This window comes from Homo sapiens, chromosome 4 (genome assembly GCF_000001405.40).
Source record: "Homo sapiens chromosome 4, GRCh38.p14 Primary Assembly".
Classification (NCBI taxonomy): Eukaryota; Metazoa; Chordata; class Mammalia; order Primates; family Hominidae; genus Homo; species Homo sapiens.
In genome coordinates, this window is record NC_000004.12 from 154,753,998 (window position 1) to 154,781,939 (window position 27,942).

The 27,942-nt window shown below is 39.9% G+C and overlaps 1 protein-coding gene and 1 long non-coding RNA gene across 9 annotated transcripts in view; one reads left to right on the forward strand and one right to left on the reverse strand.

Moving 5' to 3' along the window:
* LOC105377500 (uncharacterized) lies at positions 759–27,876 on the reverse strand. The gene is made up of 4 exons (NR_188451.1): positions 27,792–27,876; positions 16,284–16,497; positions 6,928–7,044; positions 759–867 (listed from the first exon to the last, which is right to left on the reverse strand). It is a non-coding gene; the product is annotated as an uncharacterized LOC105377500 (long non-coding RNA).
* Positions 27,275–27,942, forward strand: part of RBM46 (RNA binding motif protein 46) — a 47,542-nt gene continuing 46,874 nt past the window's right edge. For 4 of the 8 annotated variants that reach the window (NM_001277171.2, XM_006714120.2, NM_144979.5 and 1 more), the window contains exon 1: positions 27,275–27,439. The gene's annotated coding sequence lies outside the window, so the exon portion shown is untranslated. Of the gene's footprint in view, positions 27,440–27,507; positions 27,676–27,847; positions 27,936–27,942 lie in introns of those variants that run through there. The other 4 variants (NM_001277173.2, XM_011531693.3, XM_011531695.4 and 1 more) reach the window with 3 other exon arrangements.

Here is a 27,942-nt window from a genome sequence, read left to right on the forward strand (position 1 = left end):
GGTGAGGAGGTGATGGGATGTGAGTAGAAGCAAATTCCAGGGCCAGTCTTGAAATACATTCATAGCAGTGCCAAGGACCATAGAGGTTACTGAGCTTGATGCTTAGCCATCCAACGATATTTAAAGATGTGGAAAATCAGGCTCCTAGGGGTTGAGGTGCTTCAGAGAAAGACTCAGAACTTTGCTCCAGATTTCATTCCATTATACCTCCCTGAGGTATAATGGCTCCCTGAGGTCTCCCAGGGATTAGAAAAACTTTTCTCCAATGAATGTATTTATTTCTTGCACACGTTCTATGTACTTTAAGCAGGATCACACAAGAATAAACTGGTTAGAATCTTAGTCCTGGAATTGCTCAGACTAATGTAAAAGAATGGCAAGATTTTAAAATAATGGTAGGCTTGTACAAGTGTCAGAAGAGCAGATATGAAACCTTTACCTGTCTGATGGGGACCAATAAAGGAGAGGGGTGTCACGTCACAGAAGTCTTCATTAATACCTTAACTGACCTGTAAAGAATATGAACACTTAAGGTGAAAAAGACCTCCTTTTTCCAGGCCTTTCAGGCACAGGGAGGAGCAACTATTACACAAAGGGATGGAGCCAGGAGAACCCATATCACAGTTGGGTTACAACAGGGCGTTAAGAACAATCACTTGAGATTATATTGTTGCTGTGAGAGAAAGGTGCCAGTCCTGCCACAAAGAACTCACCATTCCTTTGGAGAAGAACAAGTCTGACTCAGATAATGCTGCAGACAGGAGGCAAGTTCACGGAGGACTTTGCATTGTGAAAGTTTGGAGAGGAAAGAAAGCATTTCCCAAACTTTGCAACTGGGTCCCGTGAGTATTAGGACCATGTGATTTTCTGAAACACATGAAGAAGAGGTGTGCAGTTAGTTTGTGAGGAAAAGAAACACTTTTTTTTTTTTGGATGGGGTTTCATTTAAGGTTACAAGGAGAAGTGGAAAGTACAGAAATCACTTCAGTGCTCAGCAGATGAATAGTCACTGCTCCCTGCTCAGCTCACAACTGTTCCTGCATCCTCAAATGACTCTAGTGATATCTTCTTCTCGAGTCTGGATTCTGGTGCTGCTATTTGCTCCCATTTAGCTTATGATGGCTACTCGCGTGGCGGCCCACCTACTGCCGCTAACTCACACTGCACCATTGTTTCTGCTGCCTTGTGGTTTTCATTACACTTCTACCCTGTTACTTTTAGCTTCTGCTCCACTGTACCTGGTCGCCGTCTTTCATTTAAAATTGCAAAGGGATCTAACCAAGCTGACCAGTCACTATGCAATATTTGTGGTCACAGTAAACAGTTCTCTAGCCAGGCTACTGAATGGACCATTGATTCCCCTGATGGCCTTTAGGTCTGGTACCTTCAGATCAGGTGACATCCTTAGGCTAATCACTTGTTGCCAAATTGCACGACCATGTGTTCCCAGGCATGGAGATCTACTCTTATTCTTAAGGAGCTACTCATAACTGATATCACTTGGAGGATGGCTGTCTGCTTTAGTTTAAATGGGAGACCTATATCTAACGATCACTTTAGAGAGCTTATTCTGTAGCAATATAGAGAATGGATTGGACGAGATGTAAATTAAAGAATATGAAGTCTATTACCAAGATGCAGAAGAGAAATGATGAAGACTAGATGAAGTCAGTGTGAGTGGAGATGGAGGGGAGAGAATGGATTGATTTGAGGGGTGTGAAAGATGGAGAGTGTTTCATATAGGGTCCAACCAAGGAAACAAAAACCATTCTAGGTACTGTCTAGTGGTGTGTGTGCATAAGAGATACCGTGGCTTCTCCTTTCCTTTCCTCTTACCCTCCAATCTCCTGTGAGGACTTCACATTGGGCAGCTAATGCAGAAACCAGCTAACAGGAGAGCCTGGAAAACAGCCTGCTGAGCAAGGCAACAATGTATCTGAGGGACAATAGGCAGAGGCAGGCACCAGATTAGTGTGACTGATTGTACTGTGGCATCATGGCTAATTTAGGGAATTTTTTAAAAATGAGGCTTGGGAGAAGTATGAATCTGGTTTTGGATCTATGAAGTCTGAGTATCCCAGGGTCTCACAGTTCTCACAGGTAGGCAATAGGAAATTGGAGTCTCATAAGACAGAGTTCAGGGATAGGAATGTATTTGGGAGTTATTATAACAGTGGTGGTTCAGGCCAAGGATGTGAGTGAGCTAGACCATCCTGGGGAAGTTTATGAAGAACTTTTTTTTTTTTAAGATAAGGATGGAAGACTAGGGTCACAAACAAGGGGAAGGAAGAATGATCCAGAATAGTTCCAGGAGGAGACTGCAAAATAATGGTACAAAAAGTTAGAGCAGACCTCATACAGGAGAGATTGTATGAGGAAGCCAAGGAGGAGTGAGCTTTTGAAGGTATGGGTGTGAACAGCATCAAGATACAGAAATGAGATAAGAACTGATTAGTGCCTACATTGGATTTGGCAAAAAGGAGACTGTGAGTGACCTTGATTAATAGGCATTCCACTAACTTCAAGTATGGGGGTGTTAGGGATGTTGCGGTTGCGGGGAGAAGGCAGACTGTGGGTTGAGATTTAAATGGAAAATGACTACGAGCTTCTCTTTGTAGCAGTTTGGTGGGAGAAGAAAGAAACAGATAAAGCCCAAAGACTCAGAAAGCAGTATAACGTGATATCTCTTACTACTTCCGCATGCTTTAGAACAAAATGTACCGTGACCTGTTGCAAGTTAATTTTTGTAATTATTTTCTGAGGGACAAACACTCTTTTTTTGTGACATTATCACAATTGCACTTTTTTTCCAAGACTGATTACTATCAGAGGTTCAGTCTAATCAATGAGCATTCTCATTTCTACTGGCTTCTTTGAAAAGAACACATATTCAGATTCAGAGTCTAACAGGCTCAGAGGATTGGGAAAGGGTAGAAATTAAAACTGCACTGCATGGGACTCTCGATTCTTGGGCTCTCATTCAAACAACCTGTTGAGGAAAGTCCATTACCATTCCTTCCCTTTCACGGAATGATAGAACAGAGAGATCAAGACACAGTGCAAGACTCAAACTTTCGGAAACTTTTTGACCAGCATGACCTCATAAACACTTCAGATTCTTTATAATTAAATTATTCATTGAAAAATAGAATTGAAGGTTAAATAAATCCAGGTGGCTAACAGAGCCAATGACAACCAGACAAAGTAATGGTTTCTTATCCCTTTGTCCTATACTAACCCAATTCACATAGCATCTTGAGACCACTTTATCTGGCACTTGACTGAATCACCATCCATTGAAGAAGAATATGTTAGTATTCCCGAAAAAACCTTCTTGTTTATGATGAGCCAAACAATGATTCCAAATTCAAAAATTTATCAGATAAACAACACTTGTCTGCTAAGCCTGGCTCAGCAGCAGCTGCCCCCAAGAATCTGTTCAGGCATAAGCTTTATGTTGGTCTAGACACCTGATCTGACCAGGTGTCTCACTGCTGGGTAGAAACCTAAAAGGTAGCAATTGCTACATGCTTGATGAACATCAAGATTTATTTCTTCTTTAATCCCCCCATGCCCCCAATTCTCTTCTTTACACATCACATCTCCACACACATCTTTCTCTACTTTACCTCTGACAAGTCACAGACAAATGACTGCCAGGGAATTTAACCATGGTAAATTATTTCACACTACATGCAATTTTTCTGGATGGGAAGTTGAGGTGACAATAAACTTTATATTTAAAAATATAAAGGCATTTAAGGAATAATTCAAGATGGGAGAAAATCTGAAAATGAGATTGAAGGAAGTGGATTTGCACCACCTCAGTATGTTTGAGGGGCACCTCCTCTGTGAAGTGAAGCAGCAGGCAACCAGCAGCGTTCATCTCACTGCTGCAGCAGCAGCTGGTGCATCGCCACAGCTCAGCCAGATTTCTCCACTTTGCTAGTGCTCGTCCTGACCACCCTGCGAGCCAGTGTAATGGGGATTCTCCCTCATCAGATATTTTTGAGGCAACGTTCTTTTTGCATTTATTCTCAACACACCTCAGCTGTGGGATTTCTAGTCTCAAAATATGGCCCTTTGCTTGGTTTTCAAACTCAAACTTATCCCCGCAAAAGGAAGTCCATTCTTCAGTGTGTACTAGAAAGTGGGAATGAATGGTGTAGATTAGTGGCAGTCTTTTTCTTCTTCTAATAGAGCAGAAATACAAGTTTCAGTCACTATTTTGGGGTACTGTGTGGTTTCAATGGGCATCACTGAAATAATTGTCATCATGGCTTTACCTGAGAGTTCGGACATTTACCCTCTTACAGTGTAATTAATTACATAAAATTTGTCAACTTGCCAGTTTCCCCTTTACATTTTATTATTATTTTATTTTTATTTTCTTACTTAGAGAAAAATGAATCAACTTTCATTCTCAGAACTTGGTCTTTATTTTTTTCCAATGTAAAAGAAAACTTTGTGCTCATGTTCCTATCATGTCTAGGCTCAGGTGCCTTAGCTCTCAAGGACTTCACCTGCTCTTCTGGACTTTTCCATGCAAGGTGAACAGATGCAACGTGCAGAGTGAGCACTCTGCAAGAGACCAGAGCGTGAAAGCTTTATTAACATACTGAAACTATGGAATGTCACCACAAACTTGCCAAGCTGATTTATGATCAAAGTGCAGTGAAATGGCAATCCTATCTTGTAGTTACGTGACCAACGCTGAATATCATTCATAATAGCACAGAATGGGATCACAAGTTTCTTGAGGAGCCATGGATGCCCAAGTGTAGGGGAGAATCTTTAGATAATGAGCACTCCTGAACTCCAGTAATTATCAGTCAGAAGTGGACAGCCATGGCAACTGTTGGTGTGATCATCTACTGAATCAGAGATGACAACACATTCAGAGCTCCCGGATGATAGAGAGGCTTAGGCTAGAGCCAATCTAATCCCTTCTGTTTATATGCAAGTTAGAGACCTATAATAACATAGGAAACTCCAGGAAATTTTGTAACAGAACCAGAGCAAAAATCTGACTTTCCTGACACTTATTCCCTGTTCTGCTCTGGGGATTCTATATTGATGTATTGTTTGCAAGCTCTCCAGCAGATATGATTCTTATTCCACACTGGTATCATTGGTAGCTTATTTGGAGAGAAAAACTTCAATCCCAAAGTTATTGTCCCACCTAGACAGCAGGGCAGACTCTTAGAAAAGTAGAAAAGATCAATTTTTATCCCTTCTGCCCCCTTTTTTGGATTGCTTGATTCTTTTCCTTGCCAGGCTCTAATAACTTGTATAAATTTTGCATGGTATGGAAGATACCTGGTAGAATCAAGGAGTTCTTCCAAGAACCCAGAGGATCTGTAGGGTTCCACATTTGTAGCCTTAAGCATTAACTTTTTCCTGGCAGGGCAAGGCAGCCAGCTTATTCCCATGACAGAGAATTCAGTTCCTTCACTCCTTTCATTCAGTTCACATGTATTCACTGTCCACAATATGCTAGGCATTGAACTTGGTAGTGGGGCTACAGAGGTAAAGGACAAAAGTTTCTATTCTCATGGAAAAGGTATGTTGTGACCACAGAGTTACAATTATCTGAGTTGAAAACAGCTTCAGAAAATATATAGCATTTTAGGATTTATTATTTCATAACACACTTTCACATAAGTTTGCTCATTTAATAACTGTCACCCCCATAAGGCAAAGAAGAAACTGAGCCTATAAATATCAAATGACTTAGCTTATCATATAGCCATTTTAACCAACAAGGTAACTGTGATTCTCATTTTACAAACAAGAAGACTGAGGCTAAACACACTAAATGTTTTATTCAAGATCCTATAATCAGTGATGTTATATTAAGACTCATACCTCAGTATTTTCACTCAAAATTCTGTAATATATCACATGCCCTATTTGTAGGGAAACTAAGTAAATATAGTCATTACTTTCTTTCCAAGATCACAGTGCTACAGTTAGCCAGTGGCCACCTGACATGATGAGAAGGCAACACATTTATTTCTAATAAATAAATGTGCTTTTTGACTATAAAGTTCAACATGATATAACACTTCTTAACTTCTTAAAATCCTTACCTAGGGAAGTAGTATGGAAAGATATGGCAGTGCCTGCCCCTGGAGCCTGAAATTTAAGCTGACACAATTAATGCCTGGTTCTAGTTTTGTTAATGTATCTGTTATGGGCTGACTATCTGTGTATCCGCTAAATTCATATACTGAAATCCTAACCCCTAGTGTGATGGTATTTGGAGGTGGGATCTTTGGGAGGTGATTAGAGTTGGATGACATCATAGGGTGGTGTCCCATGATGGTATTAGTGTTCTTAGAAGAAGAGAGACCAGAGATCTCTCTCTCTCTCTCTCTCTCTCTCCCTGCCATGTGAGGACACAGTGAGAAGGTGGCCATCTGCAAGCCAGGAAAATGACCTCCACCAGGAATGGAATCTGCCAACACCTTGGTCGTGGACTTCTCAGACTCCAGAACAATGAGAAATAAATGTCTGTCAAGTCACCCAGTCTATGGTATTTTCTTATAGCAGCTTGAGCTAAGACAGTAGCCATGCAAGTTGCACCCAGTTACACCACATACTTTTCATGTTCAGCAGTCCCCAATGAGGACAGTATGGTGTTTATGAGCTGACAGCATTATGAACAATCTATATTCCACAGTGAACTGTTGGCAAAGCAACTTCCTTTTGTGAAGCAACGTCACAACAGGTATTAAGATAAAACAAAAGCCTGTAATAGTAAGAGATGTGTCCCTGTATCTTGTTTGTTGTTATACATACAGATGCACACATAGGTTCCCAAACTGGGCATCTTGGTAATTGGGATTTACTCTCTAGGTGTATAAGGAAAAGTTATTTCTGGGCAACAAAATGTGCATTCCAAATTACAGTGCTGAAACTCACCTGGTCCAATGCTGAGAAGCTGGGATGCAGTGATGGCAAATGGACCACCCTGGCTCTCCACGAGTGGGCAATGGTGCAATCCTTCTCAAGGCCTCCAGGCCTATTGCAATGACAGACCTGGTTACAAATCAAAGGATATCATTTACATGTGTGACATACATAATGTTGATTCAGCAGAAATCTGTCTTGGCCATTTTCTAAGAGTGGACAGGCCTTAATCCTCCTATAGTTCTCCCTCAGAGTCTTTAGCACTTATAAACCAAGCCCTAGAATCTTTGCTGATGTTGTTGAGAAGCCAAGAGCGAGGCCACTGTCAGGTCAGAATGGTGAGGTCCTGAAGAAGAAATTAGCCTAGGAGATGGGAAATGTGTTGGAAGGCAAAGTGGAAGACAGGCAGGGCAAGTGGTTCATGACAGTGCCTGTTGGAAGGCCATGTGGTCCAGTCTATTCTTATAAAGACAGTCCTTCCAGCTCCACATGGCCCCTCTAGGCACTTACTAAGTGCCAGCCTGAACGTTTGCAGCAGTGTGGGAAAACAAAGACCACACCAAGTGTCCTTTGCAGATGGGGGCTCAATTGGTGGATGCAGGTCCAGCACCCTTCTTTTACCAGGGATTCTAAAATGGAGGATGGGAGGCTGAGCACAAAGGCTGATTCTTGTAATCTCAGCTACTTGGGAGGCTGAGGCAGGAGGATGACTTGAGGCCAGGAGTTTGAGACCAGCCTGGGCAACATAGCAAGACATGGTCTCTAAAAAAATTAAAAAGTTAGCCAGGTGTGGTGGTGCACCCCTGTAATCCCAGTTACTCATGAGGCTGAGGTGGGAGGATCACTTCAGCCTGGGAAGTCAAGGCTGCAGTAAGCTATGATTATGCCACTGCACTCCAGCCTGGATGACACAATGAAACCCCGTCTTATAGATGATAGATAAAATGGGCAGTGGAGGGAGGCACAGCTCAAGAGGCTGAGCCATTCCAAAACACCTCTATGCTGAAAGTTTGAAATTGATGAGTTTGCCTTGTTTATAGTTTGTCTTACTCCTTAACAAAATTATACACTTTTCAAAGGAGTTTCTTAGTGTCTAGTAGTCACAGTGTACATAGCACTCATAAATTATAAAGCGTGAATAGAATTTCATGTTCTCCCAGAGTTATTTTATTTTTTATAAAGTTCTACAGACAGGCAATCAAGGTAAGGAAGATCTTTCATTTCTAGCTGCTCAGGAGATTTACGTTCAAACATCTAACCAACCATTCTTGTTCTTTTTTCTGCCTTCCTCCCTGCAACAAGTTTATACTGAGTACCTGAGCACAAAGCAGGTGCTGTGCCTGTTTCTGCTCTGGTTTGGAAGAAGAAACACCAAGTCTTCCTCACAATCAGAATGCAGAGGGTAGGTCTGTGTGGTCTCTCAATCTTACGCCTGACAGTATTAGTGGTGATATTATTCAGGCTGCGGCTTACATGCATGCATAAACCTCACACTTATCTCCATGCATTGTAAATTTCCTATTTAATCCTTTGCTTATCTTATCCCAAAGTTTGAAATCTCTATTCTTAAGATTGGCTCTGGGTTTAAGGTACAAAGGATTTTTCCTTTCTGTCTTCTTAAATTTCTTCTGTTGCCCAGATGACTATCATATAAAAAACCATTTTGACGTGCACCAATATGAAGTGGATTTGACTGGCTCTGAGAGCACCAGTTTTCCGGGGTGTTTGCCCCACTCTCTGCCTGTGGGAACCCCATCAATTCAGCATGTGAGCTTTTAGGTTGGCTACATTACCCATTTCCATCATTACTCTCATCATTAAAAATATATATAGATAAAATAAATTAAAAAACACTACTCCTCTCTTGGATGTTCTTCTGTTTGTGTACCATCTAATTTAATGGGAGACTGTCAGAATAATTTTCTCATTTCTAGATTTAATGGGAATATAACTAGTCAAACTGGAAGTTTTGTTATTCAGTTCTCTAATTTTTCTGTGTTGTTTCACAAATATGATCACATTTATTTGCAGTTCCTCACCACAATTTCATTTTTCTCTGATGAGTCTGTTCAGTCTTCATGGGGAAATCTCTGTGATAAAACAAAAAGGCCTGACATTTTTGTCTTGCTCCATTAAAATGATCCCCATTGAAAGTTATTACATCCACTGAAAATTATCTGTTTTAATTTTCTCTAGTATAAATGGGGGTATTACTACTTACCTCTCAGGATTACTGTGAAGGTTAAAGTATGTTGAGCCCTCCAGTGGGCTTGGCACATAGATGTCCTTAATAAATGCTAACCAAGAGGCTGTAGGTAGTATCACCCCCTTCATATTCTGAACAGTATTTCTAGGCTTACAGTTCCTCCTAGTACCTACATATCAATTCTTTCTGATAACGTTTATTAAAGAGATCCTTGTGTCTTCTAGCTTCTGCACCACAACTGAGCTCTCAGAATCAAAGCAGCTGCTTGGCCCTCCTGCTGCCAAACTTTGGGGAGCACGTCCAGGCCCTGTGGTTTCTGGGTGGCACCATGAGCCCTGGGGTGGCTGTTAGTCCCTCTACCCACTCCATTGGACTGATCTGACCCAGCTGCCGAACTTTTGGAACTTTTGGAAATTCCAGTAATGGCCAGACTGGCTTGGCTCACAGCAACTGGATGTGATGGTTCTTTTAAAGCAATCAGTTTATGAAGAGAAAGGATATGGGCTGTAAAGTGCTTTTTTTTTTTTTTTTTTTTTTTTTTTGGTCAAAGCTGCCCAACAAGAAAGTTTGTTTGTCAGGGAAAGGAGGAGGAAGGGAAGTGTAGCCTAAATAATAGAAGCCAGGAATACAAACCAAAGCATGTTTTATAAATGAACACCTCTTTCTCTGAAATCAGAACTTAGAAAAGTAAAATAACTGTTCAGTTATAATTAGCAATCGTACTGATAATTCTGAGGTTTTACATCATTCAAGATTCCACCTGAAAGATTCACTTGTCTTTCCACCTGAAAGATTCGCACAGATCAATCTGTGTGTGTGTACATGTGTGTGCTCAGTGTTTCTTCTAAATATTTGGAAAAATAACACACATACAATAAGGCAATACTTAGTTAATTAAAATTTTTAATTAACACTGATACCCAATTTTCCAATATTCATTATAAAGGAGAGTACATTTTCCTTGGGCTTACTGCCTCCATCAAATAGACTTTAAAAAACCGCCATAACATCAGCCAATTTCCCCCTTATTCTGATTTCCTATGATACTGTTACTTAATGTGCATTCCATGAGCCGCTTGCATCAGAATTTCTCAGGAAACTTGTTAAAATTTCAGGTTCCTGGGGCAACATTCTACATCTACTGGAGCTTACTAGTTGGCTACCCCAACATCATAGTCCCTTTCCTCTTTAGTAAGATGATCTTGACTTAAGTGGAATTAGCCATACACTTGGCCTTCTTTTCCATGTGACAAAGTTTTGGCCAATCAAATAAAAGGAGATATGCTGTGCAGGAATTCCAGGAAGCCTCCTTCAATGGGAAAGAATACAAAGTTTTCTTCTCCCGTTTCTCTTGCTGCTAGCCTGTAAGTGGACAGCATGGCTAGAAACAAGAAGCCATTCCAGATCATGAGGTGACTCTGTGGATGGAAGCCAGGCACATAGGGTGGTAAAACAGAAAGAACCTTGGGTCCCTATGGTGCCAGCAGGTCGGGCTTGGACTGTCTTCCTCCAGAGGAAATAAGCTGCTAACTTATTGAAGCAGTTGAAGTTATTTTAGATTGCTGTCTTATATGCAGCTGACCTAATGCCACTGGCTAATTCTCCTGATTTAAAATATATGAGGGTTGTGAAATCTGCATTTTTGATAAACACCTAGGACAATTCTTAGACACAATCAAATTTTGAAAAACCTGCCATGAGATACAAGATCTATAAATAATTTTATAATTATTTCTTAGAGATAGACCAGAGACAGGGCTGGTATACATTATACCTTTACTTGTATTCTGCAGGATTTAGTACCATAACAAATAGTGAGGGATGGTCCATCAAGGTCTGCAGAATAAATAAATTGTTAAGAGAAGTCTTCTTTTCCACCCCTAATTTTCTTCTGCAAGCTACCAGAGAAAATGTTTCTTAATTGTGGACAGCCTTGAGGAACACCTGGCGGATCATTTTTCTATTTCTTTGAAAGGTCTAGGTATATGAATGAACCACAAAACAATGAGCAGCAGCTTTGCAGTGACAATACGGTTTCTTAAATATGGTGGCTATTTTGCCTCTGGTGTCTCTTCCAGAGCTTGCTACCAGGATAGCGTGAGTCCAGTAGGCGTACCAAGTCCTTCAATACTACTAGTCTCATGGGGAGGAAAACAAAAACCAGTCCCACACACCAAGCAATTAAGTGCTCACTGTGTTGTTTTTACGGTATCTTATTTTATATATATATATATAAATACATATACAGATATATATATATTTAGGCTAGATATATATATATAGATATATTATATATCTATATATATATATATACACACACACGTATATACCTATGGACAAATATATATGTACGTATGTGTATACCTGCACACATAAGACATCACTTTATAAATAAATTTCCAACTTCTCAGATATGTTTTCCAACATTATGGCAATTCATTACTGTGATAATTAGGCTAATGAAATACCAGTTACTTGAATGAGAAGTTGTTTGTGGTGCTCAGAAGTAAAGGGTGATGCCTGTTGGTGATCTATGGGATTCTCACTACAAATTCTGGAAATAGTCACCTGCACCCTTCAGCACATTCATTAGCCAACATTTCTAAAATAGGGTTAGTCAATTTGGCTATTTTCCTGAGTTTCCAGATTCCTTATAGAGTCTGTCAGCTTACCCAAGTTGACAGACTCTATAAGTCAATAAACTGATAGCTGAAACAAAACAAAACAAAGAAACCTAAACTCTCTAAGCTTTAGCTTCCTTCTAGGTAAAATAGAGATAATAATAGCAATTTTCATAGAATTGCAGTGAAGAATAAATGAGATAAGGTATTTAAAGTTCTGGTACAGTGTCTAACAAAGTAAGTGCTCAATAAATGATAGTTATGATTTGTATTTTCTCCTTTTTGCTTTTTTAAGATGGAGTTTCACTCTTGTTGCCCAGGCTGGAGTACAATGGTGTGATCTTGGCTCACTGCCACTGCCACTGCCACCTCCACCTCCCAGGTTCAGGTGGTTCTCCTGCCTCAGCCTCCCAAGTAGCTGGGATTACAGGCATGCACTACCACGCTTGGCTAATATTGTATTTTTTTTTTTTTTAGTAGAGACAGGGTCAGTCTTGAACTCCTGACCTGAGGTGATCCACCTACCTTGGCCTCCCAAAGTGCTAGGATTACAGGTGTGAGCCACCGCACCTGGCCCGTATTTTCTCCTTTTATTAAATGTTTCATCTTCCTTGTGTGTTTCTGTCCAGAAGATAAAACATCTGTTAAACTTTATAAAATATATTATTTTAAACCTATTCTTTTAGGATTTTAATAAATGGGAAAATAGGATCACTTTTCTGAAAATTAACCATTTTTCAATTACTTCTTCAAACATCATCAAAATTAATAACAGAATGAAAACCCAGTGCTGCCACATTTGTCCAATGTTCACCAGGTCAGTTTGTTGGGGCCAGGGTTACAAGCCCAAATCCATAACCAGCTTTTCATCCCCTGGACACCACCATGCCCACTTTCAGCTCACCCTAATTGCATGATGGCAAAAGAGAAAGAAAGAATAGCAGAAGATGGTTACAGAAGCCAAGTTCCATTTATAGTCTATTTATACTTCCTCCATTAAACTTCCTCTAAGGAGATGGGGTGATGAAAAAAGAGGGAAGCCTTGGAGTCCGTCCTTACAGGTTTGCAAGTATCATTAGCAAGAAATGACAAAATAAGCTTATCAATTCAGTACCACTGAGGGATAATATTCATTAACATTATGAATTGTTTATTTGTATTATGTCAAAAACATTATCTTCCCACTTCTATATTTATTTAACGACTGAGTTCAGGGTTTCTGGTTCCTCATTAGATGGCTACTTTGCATTGGCAGCAAGCAGTTCCCCAGGACCAAACCCTGGAGATGTCACAATTTCAAGACAGACCTCAAAGGATATAAAAACCTATTGTTAAAAATGTGAGAAACTCTGAGAAGACTAAAAATGTTTTGGCAAAAAACAGCAGTCAGGATGTAGCAGGGTGGACATCATTGTGGGAGAAATTTTGGGAAGAGCTTGTGTGATATAATTTCATTCTCTCAAATTCTACTGGGTGGAATACAACTTTGACAGAGAAGCAGGAAAATGTCAGCACTAGCTAGGGCACCTAGTGGGAGAGTTACATCAGGGTTGTGTTGGCTGTGGTGAAGAGTAGATAAAAATAGAGGCAGGTCCTGGAGTTGTCCCTTCTTCTCTATTCATTCCATGAGCACTGGGTACTATGACTAAAACATAGGAAGACTCTACTGGCTGATGGCCAGCTGCTGACTCCTTAAATAACTAAGAAGGGTACACTGTCCTTTGCCGCCAATTCACATTACTAATGAAGACTGCAGATGTGACTATAAACTCACAAAGAATATTAGATAACCAAATAGGGCAACACCTACACAATAAACAAGCTATAGTAGATTAAGTTAATATCTTCTAAATGAAACTAAACTAACATATATTCTCCAAGAAATAAAGGAGGCTAACAGTAACACGAAGCAAGAACTAGTAGTTATTAAAAAAAAAGGTGGAAACAGTTATGTATTAAAAATATGATTTAAAGTAAAATCTCAACAGGAAAGATAAATAGCAGAACAGATACAACCAATAAGTTAATTAGGAGCTGAAAGCTACAAAGTCAAAGAACTTTACCAATAGCATCAGGGACAAATAAAAGGCCACATGGCGTAGTGGTTAAAAGTGTGCAACCCTGGATCCCGAAGCCTGGGTTCAAATCTCAACTCTGCCAAATATTAGCTGAAATGCTCTGAGCAATTCACTTAACTAATATGTAATGACTTTTTTTCATCTATAAAATGGGTAGATAATAATAGTACCTACACTATATGATTGTAATGAGGATTAAATGAGTTAATATATGCACAGTACACATAAGAGTCTCTGGCAAATAACTAATCCTGCATAAATATAAGCTATTACTATTTTAAGGAGTAGGAAATACAAAAGAGCTATTTGTGGGAGATGTAGGAGAGACACAAACATGTCACGTAACTCACAGCAAACCTTGATGAGGAAAACAATTAAGTAGAAAGAAGGAAATATTAACAGACTGACAATAGTCTAGAATCAAAGAAAGATAAAAATCTCTGATCCTTCAGATTTCAATCTTCAGATGGATTATCATAGATAACTCAACAAAATAGATGAAAAAAACCCTATACCTTGATACATTGTGATAAAATTTAAGATCAAAGAGAGAGAAATAATAAGTGATTACATAAAGGAAGAACATAAAATCTTCAAAAGAACAAGATTAGGTTGACATCAGACTCATCCATAATAACACTGGAGGCAAAAACATAATGAAGTACTATTTCAAGGTACTGATGTAAAAAGAATTTATACCTAGAAAAACTAATATCTAAAAATGATGGAGCAAGAAATATGATGATGTCAGACATTCAAGGCTCAAAAAGTTTGTATTCAAAGCCCAATTTTGAAAAGACTATTGGAAAAAATATCCTAAGAGAAATAAATCTAGGCAGTCATACAGGAATAAGGGTTGAGTAAATAACTAATTTAAATAATGTTTAAGAAAAAAATGTGTGTGTGAGTGTGTGTGTGTGTGTGTGTGTGTAATGATGATCCAAAACTAAAATTCCATGTAACAGCAACAAAGCAGGTATGTGTAGTTTGGCTGGGGAAGTGGGGAAGAAAAGAGGGAGCTGAGAGAGTTCTGAAGTCCCTGTCTTAATCAGAAAGAAAACACAAATGTTGATAGGTATAGGTTGTAGTGGGTTAGTCAAATAGAATATATCATTTTCATATCAGCAGAAAAATAATAAATCTATCATAGGAGGTGGGAAAGGGAAAAAAAAAGAACTCATTCAGTATCTTCTCCCATTGTATTAAATCCCTACTTCCTTTATTCTTAAGTTCTTAATGCGTAAATTGGCAACCTCAGTATGAATTAACAATTGGTAACACATTCAATTTGCTTATTCCCTTGTCACTACTAAGACCAGTAACATAGTGGCTTTAAATTATGTACTGATATACCTAAAGTCTCATTAATTCAGATCTCAACAATTTGTATTTTGTGACATTCCTGACAGGGATGGGCTAAGGTTTAGTTCTGCAAGAGTTTAAAAAAATTAGTAGCATGGCCAAGGGTACAAGACAGAATACTTAAATTACTTTAGACAATCATTTAAAGATCCCAAACACTTCTTAAGAAGTCATTTATTTATACCCATTTACTTGCAAGTACACTATAAATCACTCTTATGTATTCAATAAATCTGTTCTCAAAAGAAGTCATTTGGTCAGAATTTATTTTTCAAATTTCTGTATAAAACGGTAAATGCTTATTGTTAGTCTGGACATATAAAATATTTTAATTTTTTCTCAAGACAAAATCCCTTTTCCTCCTTTTAATCTGAATTAGTGAGGTAAGTTTCTACTGTAAAGAGAAATCTAGTGTTAAATCTTTACTGAGTGACTTCTTATTAACTTTACCTGACAGTGTCCACCCCATAGGTGAGAAGCTGACCGCCCCTGTGGTCATTCTAGTTCTCAGCCTAAACAGTATCTAGGTTTCGTGTGTTTTTTAACCGTGTACATACATATCATAGGAGGTTGTGTTCAGACATGACAACAAACGGTACATAATCAACTCACACATGCCTTACTAAAACAAAATCCAACACATATATTTATTCGGCTAATTATAATGTTATCTTTTTTCTTATGGCAGATGAAGGCTTGTTTTACTGAGTGACTGATAGATATAATTAGCCCATTTTCACATTGCTATAAAGATACTACCTGAGACTGGGTAATTTATAAAAAAAAAAAAGATGTTTAATTGACTTGCAGTTCCCTATAGCTGGGGATGCCTCAGGAAACTTACAATTATGGCAGAAGATGAAGGGGAAGAAAGCACCTTCTTCACAAGGCAGCAGGAGAAAGAGAGAGTCCAGGGGAAACTGCCACTTTTAAACCATCAGATCTTGTGAGAACTCCCTATCATGAGAACAGCATGGGGGAAACTGCCCCCATGACCCAGTCACCTGCCACCAGGACCCTCCCTGGACTCACAGGGATTACAACTTGAAATGAGATTTGGGTGGGGACACAGAGCCAAACCACATTAACCACTATGCTTACATAAGAGAGGGGGGCCTTCATGTCTTCATCTCTTCCTGCTTGGACAGAGTCTTGGTTACCTCCTTCTTGGCCTGAAGTGGCTCCTCGGGGCACTCCTGTACTTCCTTGGTCTTAACCTTGGGGGCCTATCTGGTTAGCCAGGGGCTTCTTGCAGGCCTTCTCTGCCTTCAGCTTGCGGATGTGTTTCAGGAGAATCTGCTTGATTCTCATTCACCTAAAAGATAATGTAATTTTTAAGAGAAAAAAAGTCAGATATGTTATTTTTCTTTGAGTACCATGGCCACAGCCATACATCTTGCTCAGGCAACCGAAGAGGCATGCCTCCAGCATCCTCTGCCATGACGAAAAGGCCTCATAGGATCCCAGTGAAACCAACCAAACAGTCAATGCCAACTCTAGCCAGCAGATCTGGAAGTTGATCAAAGATGGGCTGATCCCACTAGACTATGACGGTCCATTCCCAGGTTCCATGCCAGAAAGGGGCAGGCACATGGGTACATGTAGTCCTAATGGCCCTGCAGATGCTGGAATGTCCCAGAAGGTAACCTGCATGAGGAAGAGGAGGACTCTGCACCAGTTTCTTAGAAGATACAGTGAATCTGAAATTGACCACCACCTGTATCACAGCCTGTACCTGAAAAAGACTTGCCATTTTAGAACCTAGCACTGACTTGCCCATGCAGGACCCTGCAGAGTCTCCTTTCTCTCTGCCATGGCAACCTGCAATGTAACAACCAGTGATGCTCCATCAGTCTTGACTCCTGAGTAAAGAGCTGAAGGATGACTGCTTAGGATCAGAGCTACAGACACCACAGCTCCAGAGAGAAATACACTTTGTTGTTTTAAGCTGGAATTTGTGGGACTGTTTATTATTGCAGCATAACCCAGCCCATCATGACAGACACAGCATCTTCCTTATTCCAGACAACAATCAGACAAGGGAGACAATATTGCTAAAAAAAAAAAAAAAAAAGTAACTTATGTAAAAGTGGAGACTTGGGAAACTAAATAATTCATGTCCGAAGTCACACTGCCAGCATTTGACCTGTCTCATTCCAAAGCCCACTGTGTTTCCACCTTATCACTTTGACTCAAAAAATGTTTTGAAGTACAACTCATTAGACTTGCTATCATTATTAGAAATCAGGAAGTTTCAGACAAATATTTGTTGAGCAATGTTGAACATGCCCTTGAACCACTTTTCCAGTGATGAAGGGGATGAAGTCTCTGTGCCAGCTAAGAATACTTCCAGAGGCTAAAGAGAAGGCTGGCTGAAAAATTTCCTTTAGGATCTGCAGGAATTTAAGCTTCACCATAATTTCCATCAAGGGATAAATGAATAAGAGCCACATAGATTGTCTAAAACCTAATTTTAGAGTCACATGCCCATCAATTTCAACATACTTTATCCAAGACTTCTCTAAACTCTAGACATTACAAATGTCATTCCGCTCCTATTTTTTTTAAAGGAACACTTTTATTTTTATTTATTTATTTATTTATTTTTATGCTTTAAGTTCTAGAGTACATGAGCACAACGTGCAGGTTTGTTACATATGTATACATGCACCATGTTGGTGTGTTGCACCCATTAACTCGTCATTTACATTAGGTATATCTCCTAATGCTATCCCTCCACCCTCCCCCTACCCCATGACAGGCCCTGATGTGTGATGTTCCCCAGCCTGTGTCCAAGTGTTCTCATTGTTCAATTCCCACCTATGAGTGAGAACATGCGGTGTTTGTTTTTTCGTCCCTGTGATAGTTTGCTGAAGAATGATGGTTTCCAGCTTCATCCATGTCCCTACAAAGGACATTAACTCATCCTTTTTATGGCTGCATAGTATTCCATGGTGTATATGTGCCACATTTTCTTAATCCAGTCTATCATTGATGGACATTTGGGTTGGCTCCGTCTTTGCTGTTGTGAATAGTGCCGCAATAAACATACGTATGCCTGTGTCTTTATAGCAGCATGATTTATAATCATTTGGGTATATACCCAGTAATGGGATGGCTGGGTCAAATGGGATTTCTAGTTCTAGATCCTTGAGGAATCACCACACTGTCTTCCACAATGGTTGAACTAGTTTACAGTATCACCAACAGTGTAAAAGTGTTCCTATTTCTCCACATCCTCTCCAGCACCTGTTGTTTCCTGACTTTTTAATGATCGCCATTCTAACTGGTGTGAGATAGTATCTCGCTGTGGTTTTGATTTGCATTTCTCTGACGGCCAGTGATGATGAGCATTTTTTCATGTGTCTGTTGGCTGCATAAATGTCTTCCTTTGAGAAGTGTCTGTTCACATCCTTCGCCCACTTTTTGATGGGGTTGTTTGTTTTCTCATAAGTTTGTTTGAGTTCTTTGTAGATTCTGGATATTAGCCCTTTGTCAGATGAGTAGATTGCAAAAATTCTCTCCCATTCTGTAGGTTGCTTTTCACTCTGTTAGTAGTTTCTTTTGCTGTGCAGAAGCTCTTTAGTTTAATTAGATCCCATTTGTCAATTTTGGCTTTTGTTGCCATTGCTTTTGGTGTTTTAGACATGAAGTCCTTGCCCATGCCTACGTCCTAAATGGTACTGCCTATGTCTAACATTTAAGTCTTTAATCCACCTTGAATTAATTTTCATATAAGCTGTAAGGAAGGGATCCAGTTTCTGCTTTCTACATATGGCTAGCCAGTTTTCCCAGCACCATTTATTAAATAGGGAATCGTTTCCCCATTTCTTGTTTTTGTCAGGTTTGTCAAAGATCAGATGGTCGTAGATGTGTGGTATTATTTCTGAGGGCTCTGTTCTGTTCCATTGGTCTATATGTCTGTTTTGGTATCAGTACCATGCTGTTTTGGTTACTGTAGCCTTGTAGTATAGTTTGAAGTCAGGTAGTGTGATGTCTCCAGCTTTGTTCTTTTTGCTTAGGATTGTCTTGGCAATGCAGGCTCTTTTTTGGTTCCATATGAACTTTAAAGTAGATTTTTCTAATTCTGTGAAGAAAGTCATTGGTAGCTTGATGGGGATGGCATTGAATCTATAAACTACCTTTGGCAGTATGGCTATTTTCATATTGATTCTTCCTATCCATGAGCATGGAATGTTCTTCCATTTGTTTGTGTCCTCTTTTATTTCGTTGAGCAGTGGTTTGTATTTCTCCTTGAAGAGGTCCTTCACATCCCTTGTAAGCTGGATTCCTAGGTATTTTACTCTCTTTGTAGCAATTGTGAATGGGAGTTCACTCATGATTTGGCTGTTTGCTGTTATTGGTGTATAAGAATGCTTGTGATTTTTGCACATTCATTTTATATCCTGAGACTTTGCTGAAGTTGCCTCTCAGCTTAAGGAAATTTTGGGCTGAGACGATGGGGTTTTCTAAATATACGATCATGTCATCTGCAAACAGGGACAACTTAACTTCTTCTTTTCCTAATTGAATACCCTTTATTTCTTTCTCCTGCCGGATTGCCCTGGCCAGAACTTCCAGCACTATGTTGACTGGAGTGGTGAGAGAGGGCATCCCTGTCTTATGCCAGTTTTCAAAGGGAATGCTTCCAGTTTTTACCCATTCGGTAGGATATTGGCTGTGGGTTTGTCATAAATAGCTCTTATTATTTTGAGATACGTCCCATCAATACCTAATTCATTGAGTTTTTAGCATGAAGGGTTGTTGAATTTTGTCAAAGGCCTTTTCTGCATCTATTGAGATAATCATGTGGTTTTTGTCTTTGGTTCTGTTTATATGATGGATTACATTTATTGATTTGCGTATGTTGAACCAGCCTTGCATCCCAGGGATGAAGCCCACTTGATTATGGTGGATAAGCTTTTTGATGTGCTGCTGGATTCGGTTTGCAGTATTTCATTGAGGATTTTTGCATTGATGCTCATCAGGGATATTGGTCTAAAATTCTCTTTTTTTGTTGTGTCTCTGCCAGGCTTTGGTATCAGGATGATGCTGGCCTCATAAAATGAGTTGGGGAGGATTCCCTCTTTTTCTATTGATTGGAATGGTTTCAGAAGGAATGGTATCAGCTCCTCCTTATACCTCTGATAGAATTCGGCTGTGAATCCGTCTGGTCCTGGACTTTTTTTGGTTGGTAGGCTATTAATTATTGCCTCAATTTCAGAGCCTGTTATTGGTCTATTGAGGGATTCAACTTCTTCCTGGTTTAGTCTTGGGAGGGTGTATGTGTCCAGGAATTTATCCATTTCTTCTAGTTTTTCTAGTTTATCTGTGTAGGGTATTTACAGTATTCTTTGATGGTAGTTTGTATTTCTGTGGGATTGGTGGTGATATCCCCTTTATCATTTATTATTGCGTCTATTTGATTCTTCTCTCTTTTCTTCTTTATTAGTCTTGCTAGCGGTCTATCAATTTTCTTGATCTTTTCAAAAAACCAGCTCCTGGATTCACTGATTTTTTGAAGGTTTTTTTGTGTCTCTATCTCCTTCAGTTCTGCTCTGATCTTAGTTATTTCTTGCCTTCTGCTAGCTTTTGAATGTGTTTGCTCTTGCCTCTCTAGTTCTTTTAATTGTGATGTTAAGGTGTCAATTTTAGATCTTTCCTGCTTTCTCTTGTGGGCATTTAGTGCTATAAATTTCCCTCTACACACTGCTTTAAATGTGTCCCAGAGATTCTGGTATGTTGTGTCTTCGTTCACACTGGTTTCAAAGAACATCTTTATTTCTGCCTTTATTTCATTATGTACCCAGTAGTCATTCAGGAGCAGGTTGTTCAGTTTCCATGTAGTTGAGCGGTTTGAGTGAGTTTCTTAATCCTGAGTTCTGGTTTGATTGCACTGTGGTCTGAGAGACGGTTTGTTACAATTTCTGTTCTTTTACATTTGCTGAGGAGTGCTTTACTTCCAACGATGTGGTCAATTTTGGAATAAGTGCAATGTGGTGCTGAGAAGAATGTATATTCTGTTGATTTGGGGTGGAGAGTTCTGTAGATGTCTATTAGGTCTGCTTGGTGCAGAGCTGAGTTCAATTCCTGGATATCCTTTTTCACTTTCTGTCTTGTAGATCTGTCTAATGTTGACACTGGGGTGTTAAAGTCTCACATTATTATCGTGTGGGAGTCTAAGTCTCTTTGTAGGTCTCTAAGGACTTGCTTTATGAATCTGGGTGCTCCTGTATTGGGTGCATATCTATTTAGGATAGTTAGCTCTTCTTGTTGAATGGATCCCTTTACCATTATGTAATGGTCTTGTCTCTTTTGATCTTTGTTGGTTTAAAGTCTGTTTTATCAGAGACTAGGATAGCAACCCCTGCCTTTTTTTGTTTTCCATTTGCTTGGTAGATCTTCCTCCATCCCTTTATTGTGGGCTTATGTGTGTCTCTGCACGTGAGATGGGTTTCCCGAATACAGCACACTGATGGGTCTTGACTCTTTATCCAATTTGCCAGTCTAGGTCTTTTAATTGGAGCATTTACATTTAAGGTTAATATTGTTATGTGTGAATTTGATCCTGTCATTATGATGTTAACTCGTTATTTTTCTTGTTAGTTGATGCAGTTTCTTCTTAGCATTGATGGTCTTTACAATTTGGCATGTTTTTGCAGTGGCTGGTACCGGTTGTTCCTTTCCATGTTTAGTGCTTCCTTCAGGAGCTCTTTGTAGGGCGGGCCTGGTGGTGACAAAATCTCTCAGCATTTGCTTGTCTGTAAAGGACTTTATTTCTCCTTCACTTATGAAGCTTAGTTTGGCTGGATATGAAATTCTGGGTTGAAAATTCTTTTCTTTAAGAATGTTGAATATTGGCCCCCACTCTCTTCTGGCTTGTAGAGTTTCTGCCACGAGATCTGCTGTTAGTCTGATGGGCTTCCCTTTGTGGGTAACCCGACCTTTCTCTCTGGCTGCCCTTAAAATTTTTTCCAACATTTCAACTTTGGTGAATCTGACAATTATGTGTCTTGGAGTTGCTCTTCTCAAGAAGTATCTTTGTGGCGTTCTCTATATTTCTTGAATTTGAATGTTGGCCTGCCTTGCTAGATTGGGGAAGTTCTCCTGGATAATATCCTGCAGAGTGTTTTCCAACTTGGTTCCACTCTCCCTGTCACTTTCAGGTACACCAATCAGACGTAGATTTGGTCTTTTCACATACTCCATATTTCTTGGAGGCTCTGTTCGTTTTTTTCATGCTTTTTTTCTCTAAACTTCTCTTCTTGCTTCATTTCATTCATTTGATCTTCATTTGATCTTCTGAATCAATCTTCTGAACACCCATTCTGAATTTATGTCTTAGTCATTCCACTGATCACTCCCTTCTTACCACTTGAACCTCCAACTAATTGACCTATAAACTACTCACCCAATCTTTACCCCACTAAACACATACTACAGAGTTATTCTATCTCATAGAATAACATTTATTAATAGAACTAAAGACCTCTATTTGGGTTACACAGAGCTACTGGACTGCATCAGAGAGGAAGTTCTAACTCAGTCTGGTTAGCCTGCCAAACATACATAGGGCCACAGGACTCAGGTGAAAACCAGAATTACAGATTGTAGATGTTTCAAAAGTTTACATTTGAATTAATTATTCTGACAGCAGAACAAGACTGCTTTTTGGCCTTTTTTCTTTTTTCTCGTCAGAAGGGTTTAGTAATTCAGTGTTGTTAAGACACAGGTTGAGAGAAATGTATCTAATTTATTAAGAATCAGAATTGGAGTGGAATACGTAAAAGGTGGCAAAACATAAAAAGCCCGTGATTTCAGGGATGCCCTAGTGACTGTGGATACAAGCTGATCAATGCAAATTAAGAGAGATACAGTGACTCATTAGAAAGATCTGATGCTTAGTTTAGAACCCAGACTGCATTATGGGTCATAATGGCATTCCTCTTTCCCCTTCGAGTTCCATGGACTCTCCTTATTTCCTGCATTTGAGAAATGCAAGCAAAGTGCCCTCTTGGGCACCAAACGGGAGTCTCTCTCTGCTTCCTCTGCAGTGACAAATGACAGAGTTGGACTGTCCCAGCTGGAATCATCCAGGGAAGATGCCATCCATGGAGTGCTAAGAGAGAAATGTCATGCCTAAGAAAGTGCTTTGCCTCACACATCCTTCATGGCCAGGTGTACTGAAGTGCCTGAACCAATGCTGGCCCTGTTGTCCTCAACCAAAATAATTTTCTTCATGGAATATATTTATGATGGCTTAAAAAAACTTAAAATGCAATTTAAAAGTTTCTGGGAGAACCAGAGTATCAGAATGAAAGTTAGAAGAGAGGAGTTGGAGATCCAGTATTGCTGCTGACTGGCTCTTTGACTTGGGGCAAGTTAATTTCAGCTTTCCCAGCCAAATGGTTGCTAAGGTGTCTTACAGCTCTAGTTTTCATTGTAACTTGTTACCCAGGGAAGCACACTACCAAACTTATCCAGTGAGATAAGACAGGAAAGATTTAATCACATTCTCTCTCAACCAAAGTTAATCAGTCTTCATTATCAGAAACTTATTTTTTATTACATATATTAGTTTCTTATGTTGTGAGTTAATCCTAGATCTCTCAGAGAAAAATGTGTATTTCCTTTCGCATCACCTATTTCTATTATTGTGGTTTATTTATGTATTTATTTTTAATAATTAGATAAGTGGATCCTGATGTTAACTAACAACTTATACCAATCTGAAAAGGGTTAGCTTTATGAGTACTTCCTTTAGTTTGCCCCTATGTCAACTGAGGCCTTGGTCATGGGTTTGGTCCATATATAGGCCATTAGCTACATGTGAAGAAGATCTCAGGTTCTGATTTGCTGCCTTGGGAAGTGAGGTTGTTAATCATAGGGGGTACACTGACAGGATGTAAATATGGCTCATCACCATAACTGGAAAAAAGCAATGTTAATGCGCCTCTCCCGCCACATATAGTCATCTTGGTGCTGATGCTCACCTTCCAGTATAATGAAAAGTTCAAATTCATCTGTCAGGCAGAATGCATTAAACCAGGATAAGAAAGTAAGGGTCAGTGAATTAGAATAAACATACTTACTACACACATAAAATAAAACAAAACCCCAAATCCACACTTCCAAAACAGGTTTGAGATGACATTTCAATTGAAGATTCACCACATTAAAGAGTTCCTTGTTCCTGAGCGATGTGCTGTAGATCATTAATTCTATAAACATGCAAGTAGCTGCCATGTTTTTGGTGGATCTGTGTCATATCACTGCCACAGTGATAAAGGAAGCTGAAGAAGCTCCAACACATGGAAAATAAACCAGATCACTGCACAGGCTCATTTATATGGAACAGAGGACTAAGTTGGATGTTAAACATTTTAAAGATTTCCCATTGCTTCTCTTTCCTTTGTCAGGGGGTGTATTTTGCAGAATGTATATGAAAATAACTTCTAAGTGATATAAAAGCTTGCATCTTAACTTCTAAGTGATATAAAAGCTTGCATTTTATATGGGGAAAATACATGTATTCAGACTATTTTTAACCACTTGAATTTTGCATCTCTTCCTTTTTTTTTTTTTTTTTTTTGAGACAGGGTTTCGCTCTGTCATCCAGGCTGGAGTGCTGTGGCACGGTCATAGCTCACTGCAGCCTCAAACTCCTGGGCTTAAGTGATCCTCTTGTCTCAGCCTAACTCAAAGTAGTTAGGACTACAGGTGTGTGCCACCACACCCGGCTCCTTCCAATTTTTTATTGATAACTTTTACTTCCCATGTCACACAGTCACTATTATTTCTCTTTCTGGTGTTTGCAGAGATCCCCTTCTATTTTCTCCCTTGTATGCCAAGTATCTTTCGACACTTCTTTTTAGTCACAAACACCTTTACATTGCTTATCATCTTCCTTCTTACTCATTTGGGTCACCTTTTCCCATAAGCTCAAATAATCTTAAAACAAATCCAATTTGGAATCTGTTACTGAAGAATTCTAGCTGATAAAAGTGTTTTGGATCTCTTTCTCTGGGAGCCTTGAGAAATAAAGTTAAAGGTCATTTCTTTAATTGTACATGCAGACAATAGTTTTTATAGCATTTGAAAAGTATACCTATTAATAAACTTTAGGATAATAAAAACTTAGACAAAATCTAACCAAAATGACATACAATGTTAAGTATGGGAAGGGTCTTTAAACAACACTGTCTCATCTATGGCAAGGTTCTATGGTCTGACTGTAATGCCTATTGAGAAGCCCTTGTCTATTTGGTTTTCTTTATACTTGGGGAGAAAAAAGACAAAAAGGGAAACAAGAAAACCAGCAATGTTCAACAACCTTCCAGGCTATTTCCAAGAACAATCTTTGTACCTCACAACATCTCCACCTAGTGACTCCTTAAGGATCTTACAGCCATTCCTAGAAATTACTTGTTTTAAATTGCCACTAATATGCCTAACCTCATTTCAGATAATTTAACCTTAAACACATGTATTTAGAATTAATTACTAGGAATTGAGAAGGTACCGACATGAAAATGAAGAATGAGGAGAATCTTTTTCTGGAGAAATAAAAGAGCAGCAAAAAATAGTAATCAATATAACAATCACAGTTCCCGAGGTACAGAATTGGTGACATGTCAAACAAAGCCAACTAGATCTATCAGTCTAGGTTTTCTAGTTGCTTTATTTTGAATGCATACATCTTATATAAAATGACACTTGTATTCATTGACTAAAGGGCAGACGGCTTACAAAAAATATTTGTTGAGCTTCCAGTGTGCATCAAGTACTATGCCAAGTTTTCTACTTGTTTCTGGACGTATTTTGAGACAGTATAGTATAGCAATTATGTCTGTAGGTTTCAAACTGGAGCCACTTACTTGCTATATGACTTTGCCCAAACTACTTAAGGTTTCTGCATCTGTTTCCCCGTCTGCAAAGTAGGGCTAGTAACTTTACCAAAGTTACTGTGAGAATTAAATGAAAATATGAAAAGTCCTTAGGATTGTTTCTGGCATCTGGCTCAATATTTGGTAATATCATATATTATTTTATTCTCACAATCCCCACTTTAAACAGGGTCTGTCTGGCTCCAAAGTCCCTGCTAATTCCTCACTGTTGTAGTATATTTAAAAATTAAAAATATACTTTAACAAAATTTAAATTGGTAGACATTCATTAGTTCCTTGAATATATGGAGAAAATACATTAGGAGTTAATGTGGAAGAAATCACCTTGAGGTTGGGAATAAGGAGATCTGTGTTACTCGGTGAATATTCTGGGCATGAAGTTCCTTGTTAATTAGAGAATCAACATGAGCTAGGTTCTTTATTGTCTAATATTCCATGAATCTAATATTATCTATACATAAATAGTTGGTTCCTAAAGGTGGTTTTTTCTTTCCTTGTCTGCATTTAATTTCGAGCTGTCTTCAAAGGAAGCAAAACTGAAGTTATGCATACCGAATGCCAAACAACCCTATCTGTGAAAGTTGGTTTTACAAGAGCATAGAACCCAGTTCGGCAGTTCGCCTCTGCCAAATGTCCCTGCAAGCTGATTAGTGGTAGCGTCAAGCCTATCGCTAGTTCTCCTCATCTAACCCATTTTCTTAGTCATTGTCATTTAAACCACTTATACTTTATACTTCTAGTCCTATTTGCAAATCCATCTTTTAGCTTTATAACCCACCTCCCCCTAGCCCTTAATTTCAAAGGTCCACCGGATATATGTGGTTGTTTTGCGCCAAACTAGCAGTTTACAAGAAAACTACATCAAACAAGAAAAAGAACCATTACGATGCATCTATGTTTTCCCTTAAGTGCGGAATTTCACACTGCAGCCCTCGTCTTCAAACACCTAAACAATGCACCTAGGACCTTCATTTATTATTCCGTGCCCACCCACACCCTAAAAATCGCTCTCTTCACCCCAATTGCTCGAAATGCCTGTCACTCCAAGCACTTTGACTAGCCCAAGAGCCTCATTTAAACTTTAGCCCCACTCTCTCCTCCTCGCCCCGCCCCGAAGCTAATCCCTGATTGGATGAGGCACCACTCCTCGTGGGGCTGCTTAGGCCACCGCGCGCGCTGCGCGCTGGGAAACGAGTGGAGACACGAGGACCAGCGCGAGCGGTCCCGGTGGGCTACCCTCCCCCTGCGACGACCCCCCCTCGCTCTGACCGACTGGTCCCCTAAACGGTGGCGGCGGTTTTTGGTCGTTGGGCCCCGGGATTTAGGACCAACATTTGAAGACCCGAAGGGGTGAGGAGGGGAAAGGGGAAACGGGGTCACTACCAGACCACTGCTAACGGCTGGATAGTGCCCGGCTCACTCTCACGCCGAATACACAGTGGGGGCTGGCGGCGGTGGCTGCGGGGTTCACCCTCGTCCTTCCCCAGCCCCGTCGAGCAGTGGGAGGGCAAGTGTCCGAGACGCTGCTTCCTGCCCCGGCAGCATCCGGCCAGAAGGCGCCCTCGCCGTCACCCAGGCGCTGCATGGTGAGGGCCCAGCGGCCAGTCTCTTTGGGGCGTCTGGCGGCCTCTTCCGCCCCGCGGCGCCCTGCGCTCTCCGCCTTATTTCCGCTCTCCCCCGCTGCCTTCCGGCCGCTTCCCACCTGTGCTGCATTTCGTGTTATTTTCCTGACACGCTTACGCCGACGACCAACGACCGCTGCAGGCCCGGGCCGCTGCCTGGCCGTTGTAGGGTCCGCGCGTCCCCTGGAGGCTTTGGACGCCGTCTGGGGCGTCCCGACGGCTGGGTGAGAT